The 22,653-nt window shown below is 40.7% G+C and overlaps 1 pseudogene; it reads left to right on the top strand.

Moving 5' to 3' along the window:
- Positions 1-18,913, top strand: part of TERF1P7 (TERF1 pseudogene 7) — a 32,777-nt pseudogene extending 13,864 nt beyond the window's left edge.
- The last annotated feature ends 3,740 nt before the right edge of the window (positions 18,914-22,653 follow it).

The following is a 22,653-nucleotide window of genomic DNA, read 5'->3' as shown; positions in this document are numbered from 1 at the left end:
AATGAAAAAGGGAATATTACCACTGAACCCACAGAAATACAAACAACCATCAGAAAATATTATTAATACCTCTATGCACACAAACTAGCAAACCTAGAAGAGACAAATAAATTTCTGGACACGCACACCCTCTGAAGATTGAACCAACAAAAAATTAAATCCCTGATCAGACCAATATCAAATTCTAAAATTGAGGCAGTAGTAGCATACCAACCGAAAAAAAAGCCCAGAACCAGATACATTCACAGCTGAATTCTACCAGATGTACAAAGGAGCTGGTACCATTCCTACTGAAACTATACCAAAGAATTAAGGAGGACGGACTCGTCCCTAACTCATTCTATAAGGTCAGCATCATCCTGAAAACAAAACCTGGCAGACAAAAACAAAAAAACTTCAGGCCAACATACTAGAACATTGATGCAAAAATCCTCAATAAAATATTGGCAAACCCAATCCAGCAGCACATCAAAAAGCTTATCCACCACAATCAAATAGGCTTCATCCCTGGGATGCAAGTTTGGCTCAATATACACAAATCAATAAATGCAATTCATCTCATAAAGAGCACTAATGACAAAAACCACATTATTATCTTAATATATGCAGAAAAGGCTTTCAGTAAAATTCAACACCCCTTCACGTTAAAAACTCAATAAACTAGGTATTGATGAAACATACCTCAAAATAATAAGAGCCACATATGACAAACCCAGAGCCAATATCATACTAAATGGGTAAAAGCTGGAAGCCTTCCCCTTGAAAACGGGCAAAAGACAAAAATGCCCTTTCTCTGCTTTTACACCGTTGGTGGGAATGTAAATTAATTCAACCATTGTGGAAGACAGTGTGGAGATTCCTCAAAGATCTAGAACCAGAAATACCATTTGACCCAGCAATCCCATTACTGAGTATATACCCAATGGATTATAAATCATTCTACTACAAAGACACATGCACTTGTATGTTTACTGCAGCACTATTTACAATAGCAAAGACTTGGAACCAAAACAAATGCCCATCAATGATAGACTGGATAAAGAAAATGTGGAACATATACACCATGGAATACTATGAGCTCATGTCCTTTGCAGGGACATGGATGAAGCTGGAAGCCATCATTCTCAGCTAACTAACACAGGAACAAAAAACCAAACACCACATGTTCTCACTCATAAGTGGGAGTTGAACAATGAGAACACATGGACACAGGGAGGGAAACATCACACACTGGGGCCTGTCAGGGGTTGGGGGACAAGTGGAGGGAGGGCATTACCACAAATACCTAATGCATGTGGGGCTTAAAACCTAGATGACAGGTTGATAGGTACAGCAAACCACCATGTCACATGTATAACTATGTATCAAACCTGCACATTCTGCACATGTATCCTGGAACTTAAAGTAGAATTTTTACAAAATATCCTTTCTCATCACTCCTATTTAACATACTATTAGAACATAGAGGCAGAACATAGAAAGTTCTGGCCAGGAAAATCAAGCAAGAGAAAGAAATAAAAGACATGCAAATACAAATAGAGGAAGCCAAACTATCTCTGTTTGGAGATGACATGATCCTATATCTAGAAAACCCCATGGTCTCAGCCCAAAAGCTTCTCAAGCTGATAAACAACTTCAGCAAAGTCTCAGGATACAAAATCAATGTACAAAAGTCACTAGCATTCTTATACACCAACAACAGTAAAGCCAAGAGCCAAATCAGGAGCAAACTCTCATTCACAATTGCCACAAAAAGAATAAAATACCTAGGAATACAGCTTATGAGGGAGGTAAAATATCTCTACAAGGAGAACTACCGACCACTGCTCAAAGAAATCAGAGATAACACAAACAAATGGAAAATCATTTCATGTTCATGGACAGGAAGAATCAATACCATTAAAATGGCCATGCTGCCCAAAGCAATTTACAGACTCAATGTTATTCTTATTAAACTACCTATTAAACTACCATTGACATTCTAAACAGAACTAGAGAAAACTATTTTAAAATTCATATCAAACCAACAAGGAGCCAGAATAGCAAAGGCAATCCAAAGCAAAAAGAACAAAGCTGGAGGCATCATGCTACTCAAACCTAAACTCTACTACAGGGCTGCAGTAACCAAAATAGCATGGTATTGGTACAAAAACAGACACATAGACCAAAGGAACAGAATACAGAAGCTAGAAATAAGACTGCACACCTGCAACTATCTGATCTTTGAGAAACCTGAGAAAAACAAGCAATGGGGAAAGCATTCCTTATTCAATAAATGGTGCTGGGATAACAGGCTACACATATGCAGAAGATTGAAACTGGACCCCTTCCTTACACCACATACAAAAATTAGCTCAAGATGGATTAAAGACTTAAATGTAAAACCCAAAACTATAAAATCCCAGAAAACAACCTAGGCAATACCATTCAGGACATATGCCCAGGCAAAGATTTCATGATGAAAATGCCAAAAGCAATTGCAACAAAATCAAAGATAGAAAAATGAAATCTAATTAAACTAAAGAGCTTCTGTGCAGCAAAAGAAACTATCAACAGACTAAACAGACAACCGAATGGGAGAAAATTTTTTGAAACTATGCATTTGACAAAAGCCTAATATCCAGCGTCTATAAGAACTTAAACAAATTTACAAGGAAAAAACCAAACAACCCCATTAAAAAGTGGGCAAAGGACATGAACAGACACTTTTCAAAAGAAGACATACGTCCAACCAAAAATCATATGAAAAAAAGCGGCCGGGCACGGTGGCTCATGCCTGTAATCCCAGCACTTTGGGAGGCCAAGGCGGGCGGATCGCGAGGTCAGGAGATCAAGACCATCCTGGCTAACACGGTGAAACCCCGTCTCCACTAAAAATACAAAAAATTAGCTGGGTGAGGTGGCGGGCGCCTGTAGTCCCAGCTACTCAGGAGGCTGAGGCAGGAGAATGGCGTGAACCCGGGGCGCGGAGCCTGCAGTGAGCAGAGATCACACCACTGCACTCCAGCCTGGGCGACAGCAAGACTCTGTCTCAAAAAAAAAAAGAAAAAGAAAAAAAGCTCAACATCATTGATCATTAGAGAAATGCAAAGCAAGACTACAATGAGATACCATCTTACACCAGTCAGAATGGTTGTTATTAAAATATCAGAATATAACAGATGCTGGCAAGGTTGTGGCATAAAAGGAATGCTTACACACCGTTGGTGGGAATGTAAATTATTTCAGCAATTGTGGAAGACAGTGTGGTGATTCCTCAAAGACCTAAAGACAAAAATACCATTCAACATAGCAATCCCATTACTGGGTATATACCCAAAGGAATATAAATCATTCTATTATAAAGACACATGCACGTGTATGTTCATTGCAGCATTATTCACAATAGCAAAGACATGGAATCAACCTAACTGCCCATCAATAATAGAATTAAGAAAATGTGGTACATATGCACCATGGAATACTATGTAGCCATAAGAAATAATGAGATAATATCCTTTGCAGAGATGTGGATGGAACTAAAGGCCATTATCGTTAGCAAACTAACACAGGAATAGAAAACCAAATAACACATGTTCTCACTTTTAAGTGGGAGCTAAATGATGAGAACACGTGGACATGTAGAGGGGAACAACAAACACTGGGGCCTTTCAGAAGGTGGAGGGTGGGAAGAAGGAGAGGATTAGGATAAATAACTAATGGGTACTAGGCTTAATACCTGGGTGATGAAATAATCTGTACAACAAATTCCTATGACATAAGTTTACCTATGTAACAAACCTACCCTTGTATACCCCTGAACTTAAAATAAAAGTTAAGAAAAGTACATATACAAAATGAACTGCTATTAAGCCATGAAAATGAATGAGATCTAGTCATTTGCAACAACATGGATGGAACTGGGGGTCATTATGTTAAGTTAAATGAGCCAGGCACAGAAAGACAAACTTTGTATGTTCTCACTTATTTGTGGGATCTAAAATCAATAGAGTTGTACCGTGGAGATAGGGAGTAAAAGGTTAGTTAGCAGAGGCTGGGAAAGGCAGTGGGGCTGGTGAGGGGATTTGATGATGTTTAATGGGTTTAAAATTATAGTCGGAAAGAATGAATAAGGCCTACTATTTGATAGCACGACAGGGTGACTATAGTCAATAATTAGTGTACATTTTTAAATATCTAAAAGAGTATAATTGGATTGTTTGTAACACAAAAGATAAATGGTTAAGGGGGTGGATACCCCATTCTCCATGATGTGATTATTATGCATCACACCTATATCAAAACATCTCATGTACCCCATAAATGTATATACCTACTATGTACCCACAAAAATTACAAATTAAAATTTTGTATAAAAAATATGATATAGCTGGTTGGTCATAAACACAGGTAAAACCACTTGGGTATGCCACTGGCATGTGAAGTAAGAGGCAGTCTTGTGAGACTGAGCACTTAACCTGTGAGATCTGACATTATCTCCAGATTGATAGTGTTAGAATTGAATTGAATTGATGTGTGTGCTGGTGTATGCTGGACAACTGATTGCTTGGTGTGTGGACAGAAATTCCTACACATCTGGTATCATAAATGTGTGTTAAGTGTGTGAGAGTAGAAAAAACACTGGGTTTTCCTATCTCTAATAGACCACTTAGCAGATTCTGGTAAGTTGAGATGTATAGGGAGAGTCTAAAGTAACGAATAAGAAACTAACAAAAAATGTAGTAAAAAATAGAATAAATTCTAACATTATAAAATATTCACTTAATGAAAAAGAAAGTAGACAAAAGGGAACAGAGGAACAAGAAAGGCACAACATATGCAGAAAAGAAAAAGTAAAATTGCAGACACAAATCCAACTATATTAATAATAATATTAAATGTGAATGGATTAAGCAATCCAATAAAATGTCAGAGATTGCAAGAATGGATGAAATAATATCCAACTGTATCTTATCTAAGGAGAGATACTTTAGGTTCAAAGATAAAAGTGGATAGAAAGTAAAACGATGGAAAAATGTATATCATATAAAGATAAACCATAAGAAAACTGGAGAGACTATACTATTATCAGCCAAAGTAGGCTTTAAACAAAACATGTTAATAGAGATGAAGAGGTACATTTTATAATGATACTCAATGGTGAGAGTCTGAATTGTTTTCTCTAAGACCTGTAACAGTACAAGGCTGTTTGCTTTCACAAATTTTATTAAACATTGTAATGGAAGTTCTAGCTACAGCAATTAGAAAAGAAATAGAAAGCATCCAAATTGGAAAGGAAGAAGTAAAACTATCTCTATATGCTAATGACATGAACTTATATGTGGAAAATCCTAAAGAATACACACACCTAAAAAAAATAGGTAAAGCTAATAAATGAATTCAGCAAAGTTCCAGGATACAAAATCAACACACAAAACCACGCTACATCTACACTAGCAATAACAAAACTAAATGAAGAAAACAATTCCATTTACAATAGCATCAAAAAGAAGAAAATATTTAGGAATAAATTTAACAAAGGAGGTGCAAGGCTTGTACACTGAAAACTACAAAACATTATTGAAATAAATTAAAGACCTAAATAAAAAGGCATTCCATGTTTATAGACTGAAAGACTTACTATTAAGATGTCAATACTACCCAAAATGACTTACAGATTCAATGCAATCCCTATCAAAATTCAAATGACCCATTTTGTAGAAATTGAAACGTTAATCCTAAAATTAATAATGAATTTCAAGGCCCAAATAGCCAAAACAATCCTGATAAAGAAAAACTAAGCAGGAGGACTCACAGCCCCTGATTTAAAAACTTACTACAAAACTACAGCAATCAAAACTGGCATAACAATAGATACATAGAGCAATAAAATAGAATTGAGAATCCAGCAATAAACCCTTACATTTGTGGACAACTGATTCTTGACAAGGGTGCCAAGACAATTTAATGGAGAATGAAAGGTCTTTTCAACAACTGGTTCTGGGACAACTAAATAACCACAGGCAAAAGAGTAAAGTCACCTTCTTTCCTTATATCATACATGAAAATTAACTGAAATAGATCAAATATTACCTGATTCCATTTATACCAAATGTTCAGAATAGCCAAATTCATAAAGATAGCAAATTAGTAGGTTAAGAGTAATTTACATTGGTATACTCTGCCTGCCCTCACTCCAAGAATGGTTTAAAATAAGTTGTATCCTGTAATGCAGTTCACAGAAATAGGAACCATTGTGAATTACACTCAGACTTACCATGAGAAAGAGATAGTACATAACAGTATACAATGGAACATTTCAGTAAAATCATGACAATATGACTAGTTTTGTCTTCATATATTAATGGGCTGAATTGTGTCCCTGCCTAAAATTCCTGTTGAAGCCCTAACTCCTAGTACCTCAGAATGTGACTATATTTGGAAATAGGGCCTTTAAAGAGGCAATTTAGTTAAAATGAAGCCTTTTAGGATGGGCCCTAATCCAATCTGACTGGTGTCCTTATATGAAGAGAAAATTTGGATATACAAAGAAAAACCAGAGTCACATACACAGAGGAAAGATCCTGTAAGGACAACCAAGAAGGTGGGTACCTGCAAGCCAAAGAGAGATCTCAGAAGACACTAAGCCTGTCAACACCTTAATATTGGACTTCTAGCCTCCAGAACTATGAGAAAATAAATTTCTGCTGTTAAAGCCACCCAGTCTGTGTTAAAGCCATCAGTTGCCATCTTACTTGGAACCTGGAAATAAAGGCATCCTGGTCCCTTGTGATGACATCTGTCCCTAAGAACATCTGCTAAGTGGTCAAGAGCCAATTATGTTGGGTAAGGTATAATAACTCTTACTGACTTGTGGAATGAAACAGAACTGTACTACTGCCATTGCACGATATGGTATAACATTAGCATTGCTGGTAGGGTTCTATTACCTTATGTTAATAAGTCATATAATACAAATAATGGTAATTATATGTATTGTGAAATTTAATTAAAGCCTCCTCAGGATCTGATATCAGTGAAAAATTATTGGCTTGAGGAACTAGATCTAGTTAACCACCAGCTAATTAATATGCTAAATAACTATAGGTAAGTTTATCATAAAGCACAAGTATCATTAGACCAAGGGAAGAAGCAATCAAATTACTACAAAAATATGAAGAAAATATGAAGATGTATACAATGGCTTTATCGGTGAATTAATTGTTTCTTCAAGTCTATATCTTGCACCAGCTCCTCCAAATGTTGGACATTCTCATGCTAATATTATTAATATATCTATTATAAAATACAGTAGTTTTCCTTTAAGAGAGCCTGAGCCTAGGGCCAGGAAGGTAGACTGTACAGGAAACAGTTGACTCAGTAGGTCTGAGTTGCTCAAACTTGTACATTTTCAGAAGGGTCTATTGTCATGAATGGTCCTTGTCCAGCTACTGGAAATTGAGGTCTTGGAATGTTCTAACTAATAAGATTGTTTTGCATACTTGGAACTTTTACCCACAGTGTACCAATTTGTCTACATAGTCTGTGAGGGCCACTTCTTGCCCAGCATGTGGAAGACAGAGCACAGACCAGTCTGATGTAGCCCACACCTGCTTTTGCTCCTCCACCAGCTTAACACAAAACGCAGAAACTTTTGGGAGCTCTATGGTCCCACCATTGCCTGAGACACCAAAGTACCTCCCCTGGGTAATGTAAAGCAAGCACAAATCTCACCACTACCACCACAGCTGGTGCTCTCTTGCAATCGCTATCTCTTGGCTGGAGGCCAACCAATACAGTCCACTACAGCATCTCCAGGTAGAATAACAGTGTCTAGAAAGGAAAAAACTTGTGTGTGACCTCAGCTGTGACCACTGCCTGCAGCATCCTGGCTAACCAGGAGGTCCTGAGTCTGTCCACATGACCAGATAATTACTACTGCAACTGGCATTACAGAAAGCTGTCATACTAAGGCTATTTATAACCAAGGAAATTCAAAGAGTCGACATCACTCCCCTGTCACCCCCATCAGTGCTGGTGTTGGTACCCACTGCTGGGAGACTTGAAGACAGGCCATATCACTGGATCCCCAGCAGACACTCCCCAGCAACAGCCTGGAATGTGCCAGCTCCACTGGGCAACTAGACCCAGAGAAGCGGCAGCATTCAGAGTAGTCTGGCTCTCAGGGACTCCTACTCCTAGGGGAAGTGGCAGCGTACCACATCAAAGTAGCACCCTTGTAGGACAAAAAAAAAAAAAATCCAGATGGAAGGCCTTGCATTCCAGAAATTTCTACTTGTGGGAAGTTTCCTTCAGCAGAGGTACAGGTAAGGTGCTGGGCTCAGCAGGGAAAGTCTGCGGTTCTACCTTAACAGTCAGGCAGCCCTGGTGCTTGTGAAGGGTCTTGGAGAAGGGGACTTCTTTTCCCACTCATCCACCATTGAAGACAAAGCATGGGCTTCCACCATGGGAGCTCAGCATGGGTGCATCTGTAGACAGCTTTTCTGGAACACTTCAAGGTGACTGTATCCCCACAGAAGTAGTGCCCTCCAGGTTCAGGCTTACATGAGGAGTAGAGTCACAATACTTCTCTACTTGGACTATCAATATTCTTTCAGATAAAAAGAGGTATCTGTCTGATCTGAATAGCTGAAACACTGAGTCAGGAATGTGACTGGCAATGGGATTGCTTTCCGGCTAGCCTGGCAGGGGAGCTGACATGGCTCCCACCCTTCCCCCTGATAAGACCTTAGTGCATTACACTGAGAGCTCCTCCAGCCACTGTTTTCAAGGCTGGGACCTCTTCCCACCATGGGGTATTCTATTTATCCACCTGTTTTAGACACAGCCAGTTTCTATCTGGGGACACCCCCTCTACTGACTTGAAGCGTAAACTATTCAACCCAATAAATAAAATACAGAAGAAAAATAAATACATAAAAAAGTGCAGACTACAGGGGAAAGAGACAAGTTTCAAAAGATACCTCTGCCACTCCAACCCCACAGGAAACAGTGAACTTAATCATATACCAAGCACACTGCTACTAAAACAAGCATCTGGGGAAGTTAACATACAAAGACTCTCTATAACCAAGGAACTCATACAGAGTCTTCAGCCTTGAAAGCACCGAGAACTGAATAGGCTACAATAAACTGTAAACATTAAACTCAAATCCTTAAAGGGGGAAAGAAATTTTTAAAACACAGTTTAATAAAAAATCAATTCAAGAATAATTAGAAAAAATAGTCCTCCCTCTCCCTCTCGTCTCCCTCTTTCTACGGTCTCCCTCTCCCTCTCGTCTCCCTCTTTCTATGGTCACCCTCTCTTGCAGAGCCTGGACTGTGCCGCCATGATCTCAGCTCGCTGCAACCTCCCTGCCTCGGGCTCCAGTGATTCTCCTGCCTCGGCCTGCCGAGTGCCTGGGATTCCAGGCACGCACCGCCACTCCTGACTGGTTTTTGTATTTTTGGTGGAGACGGGGTTTCGCTGTGTTGACCGGGCTGGTCTCCAGCTCCTGGCCTCAGGTGATCTGCCCGCCTCGGCCTCCCGAGGTGCTGGGATTGCAGACGGAGTCTCGCTCACTCAATGCTCAATGTTGCCCAGGCTGGAGTGCAGTGGCGTGATCTCGGCTCGCTACAACCTCCACCTCCCAGCCGCCTGCCTTGGCCTCCCAAGGTGCTAGGATTACAGCCTCTGCCTGTCGGACACCCCGTCTAGGAAGTGAGGAGCGTCTCTGCCTGGCCACCCATCGTCTGGGACGTGAGAAGCCCCTCTGCCCGGCCGTCCCATCTGAGAGGTGAGGAGCGCTTCTGCCAGGCTGCCACCCTGTCTAGGAAGTGAGGAGCGTCTCTGCCTGGCTGCCCATCATCTGGGATGTGAGGAGTGCCTCTGCCCAGCCGCCCCGTCTGGGAAGTGAGGAGTGCCTCTGCCCGGCTGCCCCGTCTGGGAGGAAGTGAGGAGCACCTCTGCCCGGCTGCCCCGAATGGGAAGTGAGGAGCGCCTCTGCCTGGCCGCCCCGTCTGGGAGGAAGTGAGGAGCGCCTCTGCCTGGCTGCCTCGTCTGGGAGGAAGTGAGGAGCGCCTCTGCCTGGCTGCCCCGAATGGGAAGTGAGGAGCGCCTCTGCCTGGCCACCCCCTCTGGGAAGTGAGGAGTGTCTCTACCCGGCCGCCCTGCCTGGGAAGTGAGGGGCGCATCTGCCCGGCCGCCCTTCATCTGGCAGGTGGGGAGCGCCTCTGCCCGGCCGCCCCATCTGGGAAGTGGGTGCCTCTGCCCGGCCTCCCCGTCCGGGAGGTGAGGGGCGTCTCTGCCCGGCCGCCCTGTCTGGGAGGTGAGGGGCGCCTCTGCCCGGCCACCCTGCCTGGGAGGTGAGGGGCGCCTCTGCCTGGCTGCCCTTCATCTGGGAGGTGGGGAGTGCCTCTGCCCAGCCACCCCATCTGGGAGGTGGGGAGCACCTCTGCCCAGCCGCCCCGTCTGGGAAGTGGGTGCCTCTGCCCAGCCGCCCTTCATCTGGGAGGTGGGGAGCACCTCTGCCCGGCCACCGCGTCGGGGAAGTGGGTGCCTCTGCCTGGCTGCCCCGTCTGGGAGGTGAGGGGCATCTCTGCCCAGCCGCCCCATCTGGGATGTGAGGAGCGCCTCTGACCAGTAGCCCCGTCTGGGATGTGAGGAGCGCCTCTGCCCGGCCGCCCCATCTGGGAAGTGGGGGGCACCTCTGCCCGGCCGCTCTTCATCTGGGAAGTGGGGAGCGCCTCTGCCCGGCCGTCCCGTCTGGGAGGTGAGGAGCGCCTCTGCCCGGCTGCCCCATCTGGGATGTGAGGAGCACCTCTGCCTGGCCGCCCCGTCTGGGAAGTGGGGGGCGCCTCTGCCGGGCTGCCCCGTCTGGGAGGTGGGGAGCACCTCTGCCTGGCCACCCATCATCTGGGATGTGGGGAGCGCCTTTGCCCAGCTGCCACCCCATCTGGGAGGTGAGGAGCACCTCTGCCTGGCCGCCACCCCATCTGGGAAGTGAGGTGCACCTCTGCCCGGCTGCCCCGTCTGGGAAGTGAGGAGCGCCTCTGCCCGGCCGCCCCGTCTGGGAAGTGAGGAGCTCCTCTGCCCGGCCGCTCCGTCTGGGAAGTGAGGAGCGCCTCTGCCAGGCCGCCCCATCTGGGAAGTGTGCCCATCAGCTCCGAAGAGATAGTGACCATCGAGAACGGGCCATGATGATGATGGCGGTTTTGTTGAAAAGAAAAGGGGGAAATGTGGGGAAAAGAAAGAGAGATCAGATTGTTACTGTGTCTGTGTAGAAAGAAGTGGACGTAGGAGACTCCATTTTGTTCTGTACTAAGAAAAATTCTTCTGCCTTGGGATGCTGTTAAACTATAACCTTACCCCCAACCCCCTGCTCTCTGAAACATGTGCTGTGTCAACTCAGGGTTAAATGGATTAAGGGCGGTGAAAGATGTGCTTTGTTAAACAGATGCTTGAAGACAGCATGCTCATTAAGAGTCATCACCACTCCCTAATCTCAAGTACCCAGGGACACAAACAGGGCCGAAGGCCGCAGGGACCTCTGCCTAGGAAAACCAGAGACCTTTGTTCTCGTGTTTATCTGCTGACCTTCTCTCCACTATTATCCTATGACCCTGCCACATCCCCCTCTCTGAGAAACACCCAAGAATGATCAATAAATACTTAAAAAAAAAAAGAAAAAGAAAAAGAAAAAATAGTCTAGCCAAATGAGAAGGAACCAAAAAAGTAATTTTGGCAATGTGGCAAAATAGGGTTCTATAACACCCTCAAAAATTCACACTAACTCTCCAAGAATGGATCCAAACCAAGAGAAATCATTGAAAAACCAGATAAAAAATTCAAAAGGTTGATTGTTAAGCTACTAAAGGAGATACGAAAGAAATGTAAAAACCAACCTGAAGAAATGTTAAAAAAAATCAGAATATGAATGAAAAATTTTCTAAAAGATGGATATTTTAAAGAAAAAACAATCAGAACTTTTGCAAATGAATTACACATTTAGGGAATTACAAAATGTAGTGGAAAGTTTTAAGAATACACTAGACCTGGTAGAAGAATGAATTTCACAGTTCAAAGACAAGGCTTTTGAATTAACTCAGACAATTTTTTTAAATATCAAAATAAATGAACAAAGTCTCCAAAAAACATGGGATTGTGTAAAAGGGCTAAATCTAAAAAGGAATGGTGTTCCTGAGGGAGAAGAGAAAGCAAAAAGTTTGGAAAACTTATTTTAGGGAATAATCGAGGAAAAGCTCCCGGACCTTGATAGAGATTTAGATACCCAAATACAAGAAGCCTGAGAGAAATCCTGAGAGACTCATTGCAAAAAGGGTATCACCAAGGCAAACAGTCATTAGGCTTTCTAAACTCAAAGAGAAGTGAGATAAAAGCATCAGGTAACCTAAGAAGGAAAACCTATCAGACTAACAGCAGGCTTCTAAGCAGAAACTTTACAAGCCAGAAGGGAATGGGGCCCTATCTTTAGCCTCCTTAAACAGAATGACTGTCAGTCAAGAATTTGGTATCCAGCAAAACTAAGTTTCATACACGGAAGATAAATAGTCTTTTTCTGACAAATGCTGAGAGAATTTATCACTACCAGACCAGCTCTACAAGAAATGCTAAAATTAGTTCTAAATCTTGAAACAAAAGATCAATATCCAACAGAATAGAACCTCTTGAAAGCATAAAACTCAGAGGGCCTATGAAACAATAACACAATGAAGAAAACAAAGTATAGGTATCAACTAATATGATGAATAGAACAGCACCTCACACTCCAACATTAACCTTGAATATAAATGGCCTAAATGCTCCACTTAAAAGATAACAGATTGGCAGAATAGAGTTTAAAAATCACAAACCAAATGTATGCTATCTTCAAGAGACTCGCCTAATATGTAAGGACTCATATAGACTCAAGGTACAAGGGATAGAATATATACTAAATGCAAATGGAAACCAAAAGAGAGCAGGAGTATCTATTCTTGTATCAGATAAAACAAACTTTAAAGCAACAACAATAAAAAAATACAAAGAAAGTCATGATGAAATGATAAAAGGATCAATCCCACAAAAAAAAATTACAATCCTAAATATACATGCACCTAACTCTGGAGATCCTAGATTCATAAAACAATTACTACTAGTCCTAAGAAAAAACATAGACAGCAACACAATAATAGTGGGGAACTTCAGCACTCCACTGACAGCACTGGACAGATCCTCAAGGCAGAAAGTCAACAAAGAAACACTGAATTTAAGCTGCACTCCAGAACAAATGGACCTAACAGATATTTACAGAACTTCTACCCAAGAACAACAGAATATACTTTCTTTTCATCAGCACATAAAACATTGTCCAAAATAGAGCATATAATAGGCCACAAGTCTCAAAACATTTTAATAAATTGAAATCATACCCAGTAACTTTTCAGAACACAGTGGAATAAAACTAGCAATCCACTCTGAAAGGAACCCTCAAAACTATACAAATACATGAAAATTAAACAATCTGCTCCTGACTGACTTTTGGGTTAACAATGGAATCAAGATGGAAATTTAAACATTATTTAAAATGATTAATAATAATGACACAGGTTATCAAAATCCCTGAGTTACAGCAAAAGCAGTGCTAAAAGGAAAGTCTATAGTACTAAATGCCTACATCAAAAAATCTGAAACATCACAAATTGACAACCTAAGGTCACACCTCAAGGAACTAGAAAAACAATAATGAACCAAACTAAAAGCCAGCAGAAGAAAAGAAATAACAAAGATCAGAACACAACTAATGACACTGAAACAAAAATAAAATGAAATCAAAAAGATCAACAAAACGAAAACTTGATTATTTGGAAAGATTAAAAAAGTTGATAGAGCATTAGGTAGATTAACCAAGAAAAGAAGAGAGAAGATTCAAATAAGCTCAATTAGAAATGAAAATGGAGACATTAAAACTGACACCAAAGAAATACAAAAGATCATTTGAAACTACTGTGAACACCTCTATGCACACAAACTAGAAAATCTAGAGGAAATGAATAAATTCCTTGAAACATATGGCCTTCCTAGATTAAATCAGGAAGAAATATATACCCTGAACGACCATTAACAAGCAGCGAGACTGAATCAGTAAGTTAAAAATTGCCAAAAATAAAGCCCAGTTCCAGATGATTCACAGCTGAATTATACCAGACATTCAAAGAAGAATTGGTACCAATCCTACTGAAACTATTACAAAAGATTAACAGGGAAACTTCCCTAACTCATTTGATGAAACCAGTATCACCCTGATACAAAAACCAGTAAAGAACATAAAAACAACAAAAAAAATGACAGACCAATATCCCTGATGGACACAGATGCAAACAACCTCACAAAAATACTAGCAAACTGAATCCAACAGCACCTCAAAAAAGATAATACGCTATGGTAAAGTGGGTTTCATCCTAGGGATGCAGGAATGGTTTAACACAAGTCAGTCAATAAATGTGATACATCACATAAACAGAATTAAAACAAAAACCATATGATCATCTTAATAGATTCAGAGAAAGCATTCAATAAATTCCAGCATAACTTTAATATAAAAATCCTTAACAAACTAAGTATAGAAGGGACATACCTCAAAATTATAAAAGCCATATATGACAAACCCACAGACTTTATCATAGTAAATCAGGAAAAGTTGAAAGCATTCCCGCTGAGAACTGGAACAAGTCAATGATGGCCACTTTCACTACTTCTATTTAACATAGTACTGGAAGTCATAGCCAGAGCAATCAGGCAAGAGAAAGAAATAAAGGTTATTCAAATTGGAAAAGAAGGAGTGAAAATATTCCTGTTTGCCAATGATAGGATTTTATATGTAGAAATCCCTAAAGACTCCTCCAAAAGACAACTATATTTGATAAATGAATTCAGTAGTCTCAAGTTACAAAATCAGTATACACAAATCAGTAGCCCTGCTATAACCAATGACCAAGCTGAGAAGGAAATCAGGGACTCAATCCCTGTTACAATAGCTACAAAAAAAAAAAAAAAAAAAAAAAAAAAAAAAAAACACCTAGGAATATACTTAACCAATGGGGTAAAAGAGCTCTACAATGACAACTACAAAAGTACTAAAAGAAATCGTAGAGGACACAAATGAAAACACATCCCATGCTCATGGATTGAAAGAATCAATATAGCGGAAATGAGAATACAGCTCAAAGCAATCTACAGATTCGATGTAATTCTTATCAAAATACCAACATTATTTTTTAGAGATTTAAAAAGTTAATCCTAAAATTCATAGGGAACCACAAGAGTACAAACAGCCAAAGCAGTCCTAAGCAAAAATAGCCAATCTGGAGCCATAACATTACCTGACTTCAAATTATACTACAAGACTACAGTTACCAAGACATCACAGTACTGGCATAAAAGTAGATACACAAATGGAATAGAATAGAGAACCCAGAAATAAAGCCTAACACCTACAACCTACTGATCTCCAACAAAGCATACAAAAATATAAATTGAGAAAAAGACACTCTATTTAATAAATCATGCTGGGTAAACTGGATATCCACATGTAGAAGAATGACACTGGATCCCTATATCTCACCTTTTATAAAAATCAACTCAAGATGGATCAAATACTTAAATTTAAGACATGAAAACATTAAAATTCTAGTAGAAAAACTATGAAAAATTCTTCTGGACATTGGCCCAGGCAAATAATTTATGAATATGTGCCGAGACCAGCTCGGTCGGGGAGACCCTAACCCAGCGGCGCTACAGGAATTAAAGACACACACACAGAAATACAGATTGTGGAGTGGGAAATCAGGGGTCTCACAGCCTTCAGAGCTGAGAGCCTTGAACAGAGATTTACCCACATATTTATTGACAGCAAGCCAGTGATAAGCATTGTTTCTATAGATTAACTATAAGTATTCCTTATGGGAAATAAAGGGATGGGCCGAGGTAAAGGGATGGGCTCTGGCTAGTTATCTGCAGCATGAACATGTCCTTAAGGCACAGATAGCTCATGCTATTGTTTGTGGTTTAAGAATGCCTTAAGTGGTTTTCCGCCCTGGGTGGGCCAGCTGTTCCTTGCCCTCATTCCGGTAAACCGACAGCCTTCCAGCGTGGGCGTCAGGCTATCACAAGCATGTGACAGTGCTGCAGAGATTTTGTTTATGACCAGTTTAGGGGCCAGTTTATGGCCAGATTTTGGGGCCTGTTCCCAACTTGTCCCCCTTCTTTGTTTTGCAAAGCGATAAAAGCAAAGGCAGCTTTGTCACGGTGAGCTACTTCTCACAGGAGTCAAGATCAGCATCTGCAGACTATATAAAGACAAACAACACAGATTAAAAGCACAATCATCATTGAAATCACAGAGCTTCTAAGTGTTTTTATCCATTTTAATGGGTTACTAGCTGCTAATCTGTCTGCAGCTCCTTCGAGCACTCCAGTTCTGGCATTAAGGTCAGGTGTGCCTGGGATGCTTTAAATATATATATATATTTTGCAATATCCAAAGACAAGTTTGCAGAGTGTCCTTCTAGATGCTTTTTTATTCTTTCCCAAATTTTGATCTTATTAAGAGCTATTAACAGTTGCCACAAATCCTTATGTTTAGCTCCTACAATGGGCCATATCATTTGAGGTTGAGGTGCCCCTATACTGCCATGGTTCCAGATAATAGGAACTCTTGCCATACGTCTTACCATTTGTACCATCTGACCATTCTGTTCAGACCAGTTGAACACAGTGTGGCTGTGACATGCAGACTAAGAGGTGCAATTCAAGCTAAACATCCCCTTAGGGGACCAATCAATAATGATTCCATAGGATTCGTTGTGCAGCACCTCTGCCTGTTCTGCAATGCAACCTTCCTAAAAAAGTACATTCATTTTTTCTGGCCAGGTTCAATTTTGTTTACAAATAGATTTTTGAGGGTGGTATGCCTCAATTATAGAAGCAGACTTATTATGGTAAATATTGAGACCAGAAAGCATGTGTAACTGTGTCATAAAGTGATTATATCCAGGCATTATTGCCAGCCAAAATTGACAAATATGCCCAATAAGTATAACTGATCTCTGTGTCAGCCCTTGTTGAAGGAATACTCACGGCAATGGTGATCACTGCTATCATAGCTACCATTAAATTACTCATTGTGACTGGTTGTCCCGCTTTCCTCAGGTTTTCTCCCACCATCTGTGACAGCTTCTTGATCTGTTCCCAGGTGGATGGCTGTGTTCGATGGGTGTTGCTCATGACAGTTGGGATCCTCCTGAGCATCAGTCTTGACATGACTGCAACTGGGGGGTACTCGGGATCCTCCCAGAATCTCTTCCTCAGCATCTGGTTCATGATAAGGTTTCAGGTGTCCTGAGGGTATCCAAATCAGTGTTGATTTTGGCCTGGAGAAACACAAGCATAACCTCTACCCCAAGTTATTATTTTACCGATTTCTCAACTTTTTGGTATTGGATATTTCCACCAAACCAGTTGTTCTGCTTCTGTCTTTGCAGCTGGTTTCTGTAGATGCTGTTCAGCTGCTGATAACATCTGGCTTTTAGGAAGGCTCAAAAAATTTAAAGCTGGGCCCCGAGCCCTTGGGGCTGTGCAGATGGTAGGGATGCCAACCCTACTGAGGAGCAGATGGCAGAAACAGAGAGAAACGACGAGGAGCAGTTCGAGTGCCAGGAACTGCTCGAGTGCTGGGTGCAGGTGGGAGCCCCCGAGGAGGAGGAGGAGGACCCGGGCCTGGTGGCTGAGGCCGAGGCTGTGGCTGCTGGCTGGATGCTCGATTTCCTCTGCCTCTCTCTTTGCTGAGCTTTCCGCGACGGCCGCCCTGAGGACTTCTGCCGGACCCGCAACAGCGCAGAGGCTATTATTCATGGACTATCCAGTCTAACAGCTTACCAGTTGAGAACAATATGCATATGTCAGTTTTTGACAAGCATTGCAGCAGGAAAAACCCTTGATGTACAGTTTGAAAATGATGAACGAATTACACCCTTGGAATCAGCCCTGATGATTTGGGGTTCAATTGAAAAGGAACATGACAAACTTCATGAAGAAATATAGAATTTAATTAAAATTCAGGCTATAGCTGTTTGTATGGAAAATGACAACTTTACAGAAGCAGAAGAAGTCTTTGAAAGAATATTTGGTGATCCAAATTCTTATATGCCTCTCAAAAGCAAATTGCTTATGATAATCTCTCAGAAAGATACATTTCATTCCTTTTTTCAACACTTCAGCTACAATCACATGATGGAGAAAATTAAGAGTTATGTGAATTATGTGCTAAGTGAAAAATCATCAACCTTTCTAATGAAGGCAGCAGCAAAAGTAGTAGAAAGTAAAAGAACAAGAACAATAATTTCTCAAGATAAACCTAATGGTAATGATGTTGAAATGGAAACTGAAGCTAATTTGGATACAAGAAAAAGGTCTCACAAGAATCTTTTCTTATCTAAGTTGCAACATGGAACCCAGCAACAAGACCTTAATAAGAAAGAAAGGAGAGTAGGAACTCTTCAAAGTACAAAAAAGAAAAAAGAAAGCAGAAGAGCCACTGAAAGCAGAATACCTATTTCAAAGAGTCAACTGGTAACTCCTGAAAAACATCAAGCTAAAAAAAAACAAGCATGGCTTTGGGAAGAAGACAAGAATTTGAGATCTGGCGTGAGGAAACATGGAGAGGGAAACTGGTCTAAAATACTATTGCATTATAAATTCAACAACCGGACAAGTGTCATATTAAAAGACAGATGGAGGACCATGAAGAAACTAAAACTGATTTGCTCAGACAGTGAAGACTGATTGTGTTTGTAAAAGCTTGATGAAAGGACAGTTAAGTATTTTGATCACTGCATTTTGTTTGAAACTTGTGTCATTGATGTATTTTAAAACTTTTGTTTAAACCATTACAGTATTTTTCTGTGACCATCAATTAATATGTGGGTTTGTGCTATAAGAGTTAAAGCATATGCTATCATTGTATTCTTTAAGAACTTTATTTTGATAAAATGTAAATTTGTTGAACCCTGCCACATTTAGTATCCCCACCACCAAATCCTGTTTCAATGAAAAAATTAAAACCTGATACAAAAAAAAAAATTTTCAGTTAACCTATTTTGTGTCTGTAGGCTGACCTCAACCCTGTAACATAACCCATTAAAATGAATTTTTTTTTTAAGACAGAGTTTCTCTCTGTCGCCCAGGCTGGAGTGCAATGGCGCAATTTCAGCTCACTGCAACCTCTGCCTCCCGGGTTCAAGTGATTCTCCTGCCTCAGCCTCCTGAGTAGCTGGGATTACAGGCACACACCACCACGCCCAGCTAATTTTTGTATTTTTAGTAGAGGCGGGGTTTCACCATGCTGGTCAGGATGGTCTCGAACTCCTGACTTCATGATCCACCCACCTCAGCCTCCCAAAGTGCTGAGATTACAGACGTGAGCCACTGAGTCCTGCCTAAAATGAATTTTCTAGATGATTGAATAACAGTAGTCCTTTGATAGGAGATAATGATTTGGTTTATGGCCTTAATATACTACATAATTATTTAAGATGTTTATTAATAGAATGATAAATGTACAGAGTGACCTATAAGCATGACATACTTTTGCTTTCAGTAGTTTCATGTAAAGAAAAAAATTTGAAAATAGTAATACCTGAGGACCCATGGGAATAATAGACACTGGGGAGGTAGGTTGGGGAGCGGGAGCAAGAGCTGAAAAACTACCTACTGGGGACTCTGCTCACTACCTGGGTGACAGGATCATCCATACCCCAAACCTCAACATCACACAGTATACCCAGCTAACAGACCTGCCCATGTGTTCCCTGAATCTAAAATAAAAATCAAAAATTTTTTTAAAAAAGAAAAAGACAATAGTATTACCCATGGGACAAAATTTGTATTATTAGCAAGAATCATTTTGTGTCTCATTTAGAAACAATTTGACTTTTGCTCCAGTGTTTAAACTTTGACAAAAATGGTTTTGAATAGATCTTTATAACCTGATGCCATAAATACAAGATTCTCTGATACCTTCATTTAACATATCAATATTGGGCCTAAAACAGTATTCTGTAAAGCTTAAATTGGTATTAACTATGATCATCTTCATGTCTGTGATAGATAATAAACAAGGTCATACATACCTTACTAAACAATTTTGGTTTTTCACCAACATTTTATTCTTTAAAAGATTTAGACTAACAGAATTATTTAGGATTTCGAGTCATGTGCTTTATTTAGCAAGTGAGTAAAAATATTGGAAGATTGAAGTATTTGCATAAAAAATCAAATGGTAGTGTTTTGTAATCTCTATTGTATTTCCTATTAAGGTTTCATATATTACTTTCCCATTGTTCCTGAATTTGTTATCCTGTATATAAACAGAAACATGGATGAGTTAAAAAAAAAAAAAAAAAAAAAAAAAGTTTAAAGATAATAATGTTAGATTCAATTACATATGGGCTGTCCTGTAATCCCTGTTTCTCCCTCTTTTTTGTTTTTGTCATCAGTTGTTCAACTGTATGAAATCATAACTGAGCATTGCAATAAATCACTTCCCTATAAATTTATAGGTATAGAAGTTATAATTGGTTGAATAGTCCCAGGTTGTTCATCAGGCCCTTCACAAGGCAAAATATAACTACTTGGATATACTTCAGGGGCTTTACCAACTCCAACTATGTTAAATTGAGTGGGTTGAACTGGCCAAGTGGATGGCCAGTGCTGTAGAGAAATAATTGAAATGTCCGCTCCTGTATCTACAAAACCTTTAAATTTCTTTCCCTGAATAGTTATTTCACAGGTAGGATGTTTATCAGTAATTTGATTCACCCAGTAAGCTGCTTTGCCTTGTTTAGTTGTGCTTCCAAATCCTCCTGTTAGTTTAATTTCACTTTTCCCCGTTTCCATATACGGCACAATCAGGAGCTGTGCTATACGCTCTCCTGGCTCTGCTTTACAGGGAACAGAAGTAGATATAACAATTTGAATTTCCCCATTGTAATCTGAATCAATGACTCCTGTTTGTATTTGTACCCCTTTTAAATTTAAACTAGACCTTCCTAAAAGTAATCTTATCGTCCCCGCTAGCAAGGGTCCACAGACCCCTGTTGGAACTTTTTGTGGGAGTTCCCCAGGCAGAAGGCTCACAGTTTTTGTGCAGCAAAAATCTACTGCAGCACTACTGGCTGTGGTGGGGGACAGACATTGTACAGACGTGAGGGAATGGCCTGAGCCAGAAATGCCTCGGTTTGGAACGGGGCCAGGGACGGGCCCCTCATGGGTTTCCCAAATTTAAAAGGAAGAGGCTCAAATGTAGCTATAATATTTCTCTGTTGATCTGGGGGGTGTATTCTAACAGGGAACTGCCAAGCCTCTAAATCACCCTCTCATCTAGCTCGCTGAATTCCTGCCTGAATAGAACTGAGAGCGGTCGCTTGAGGCTCTGCTCGAACAGTCACTGGGGCAACTACTTTTCACCCAGTATCCTCTGGAAAAGAAAGATCTGGAGGGCCAGGCCACTCTTTTTCTTCAAAATAAGGAGGGGGTACAGAAGGGTAGGGATGAACCTCTCCCTCCTTTGCCGCTATAGCTTTAGCTGGCAAACAAACCTGCTCTGTCACATCTTCTGTTACTCATTACACTTTCCTTCTTCCTCATCATTAGTGTGAAAAGGTTCCAAGGTGGAAAGAACCAGAGCTCACACTTGTCCCATTGTTACCTTGATGCTTCCAAGCTCACTTTCTTACTCACCGCGGGGATTGCTTTAAGAGTACTCATGTGTCCTCCAGCTTAGTTCCACATTCTCCAACTGTCGCTCTGGCAACCCTTCGACCTGGGTTCAAGCCCCATGTATGGGCACCACTTGCCAAGACCAGCTCGGTCAGGGAGACCCTAACCCAGCGGCACTAAAGGAATTAAAGACACACATACAGAAATATAGATTGTGGAGTGGGAAATCAGGGGTCTCACAGCCTTCAGAGCTCAGAGCCTTGAACAGAGATTTACCAACATATTTATTGACAGCAAGCCAGTGATAAGCATTGTTTCTATAGATTATAAGTTAACTAAAAGTATTCCTTATGGGAAATAAAGGGATGGGCCGAGGTAAAGGGATGGGCTCTGGCTAGTTATCTGCAGCATGAACATGTCCTTAAGGCACAGATAGCTCATGCTATTGTTTGTGGTTTAAGAATGCCTTAAGTGGTTTTCTGCCCTGGGTGGGCCAGGTGTTCCTTGCCCTCATTCCGGTAAACCAACAACCTTCTAGCGTGGGTGTCAAGGTCACCATGAGCATGTCACAGTGCTACAGAGATTTTGTTTATGGCCAGTTTTGGCGCCAGTTCATAGCCAGATTTTGGGGCCTGTTCCCAACAAATATGACCTCAAAAGCAAATGCAACAAAAACAAAAATAAATAAATGGGACCTAATTAAACTAAAAAGTTTCTGCACAGCAAAAGTAATAATCACAGTAAACAGATAATGAATAAAATGAAAGAAAATATTTGCAAACTATGCATCCAACAAAGGTCCAATATCTAGAATATACAAGGAACTCAAACAAATCAGCAAAAAAAAAAAGTCCCATCAATAAGTGGGCAAATGACATGAACAGACATTTCTCAAAAGA

This window comes from Homo sapiens, chromosome X, assembly GCF_000001405.40.
Source record: "Homo sapiens chromosome X, GRCh38.p14 Primary Assembly".
Taxonomy (NCBI): Eukaryota; Metazoa; Chordata; class Mammalia; order Primates; family Hominidae; genus Homo; species Homo sapiens.
Note: the sequence above shows the minus strand (reverse complement) of the source record. Positions and strands in the feature narration are given on the sequence as shown.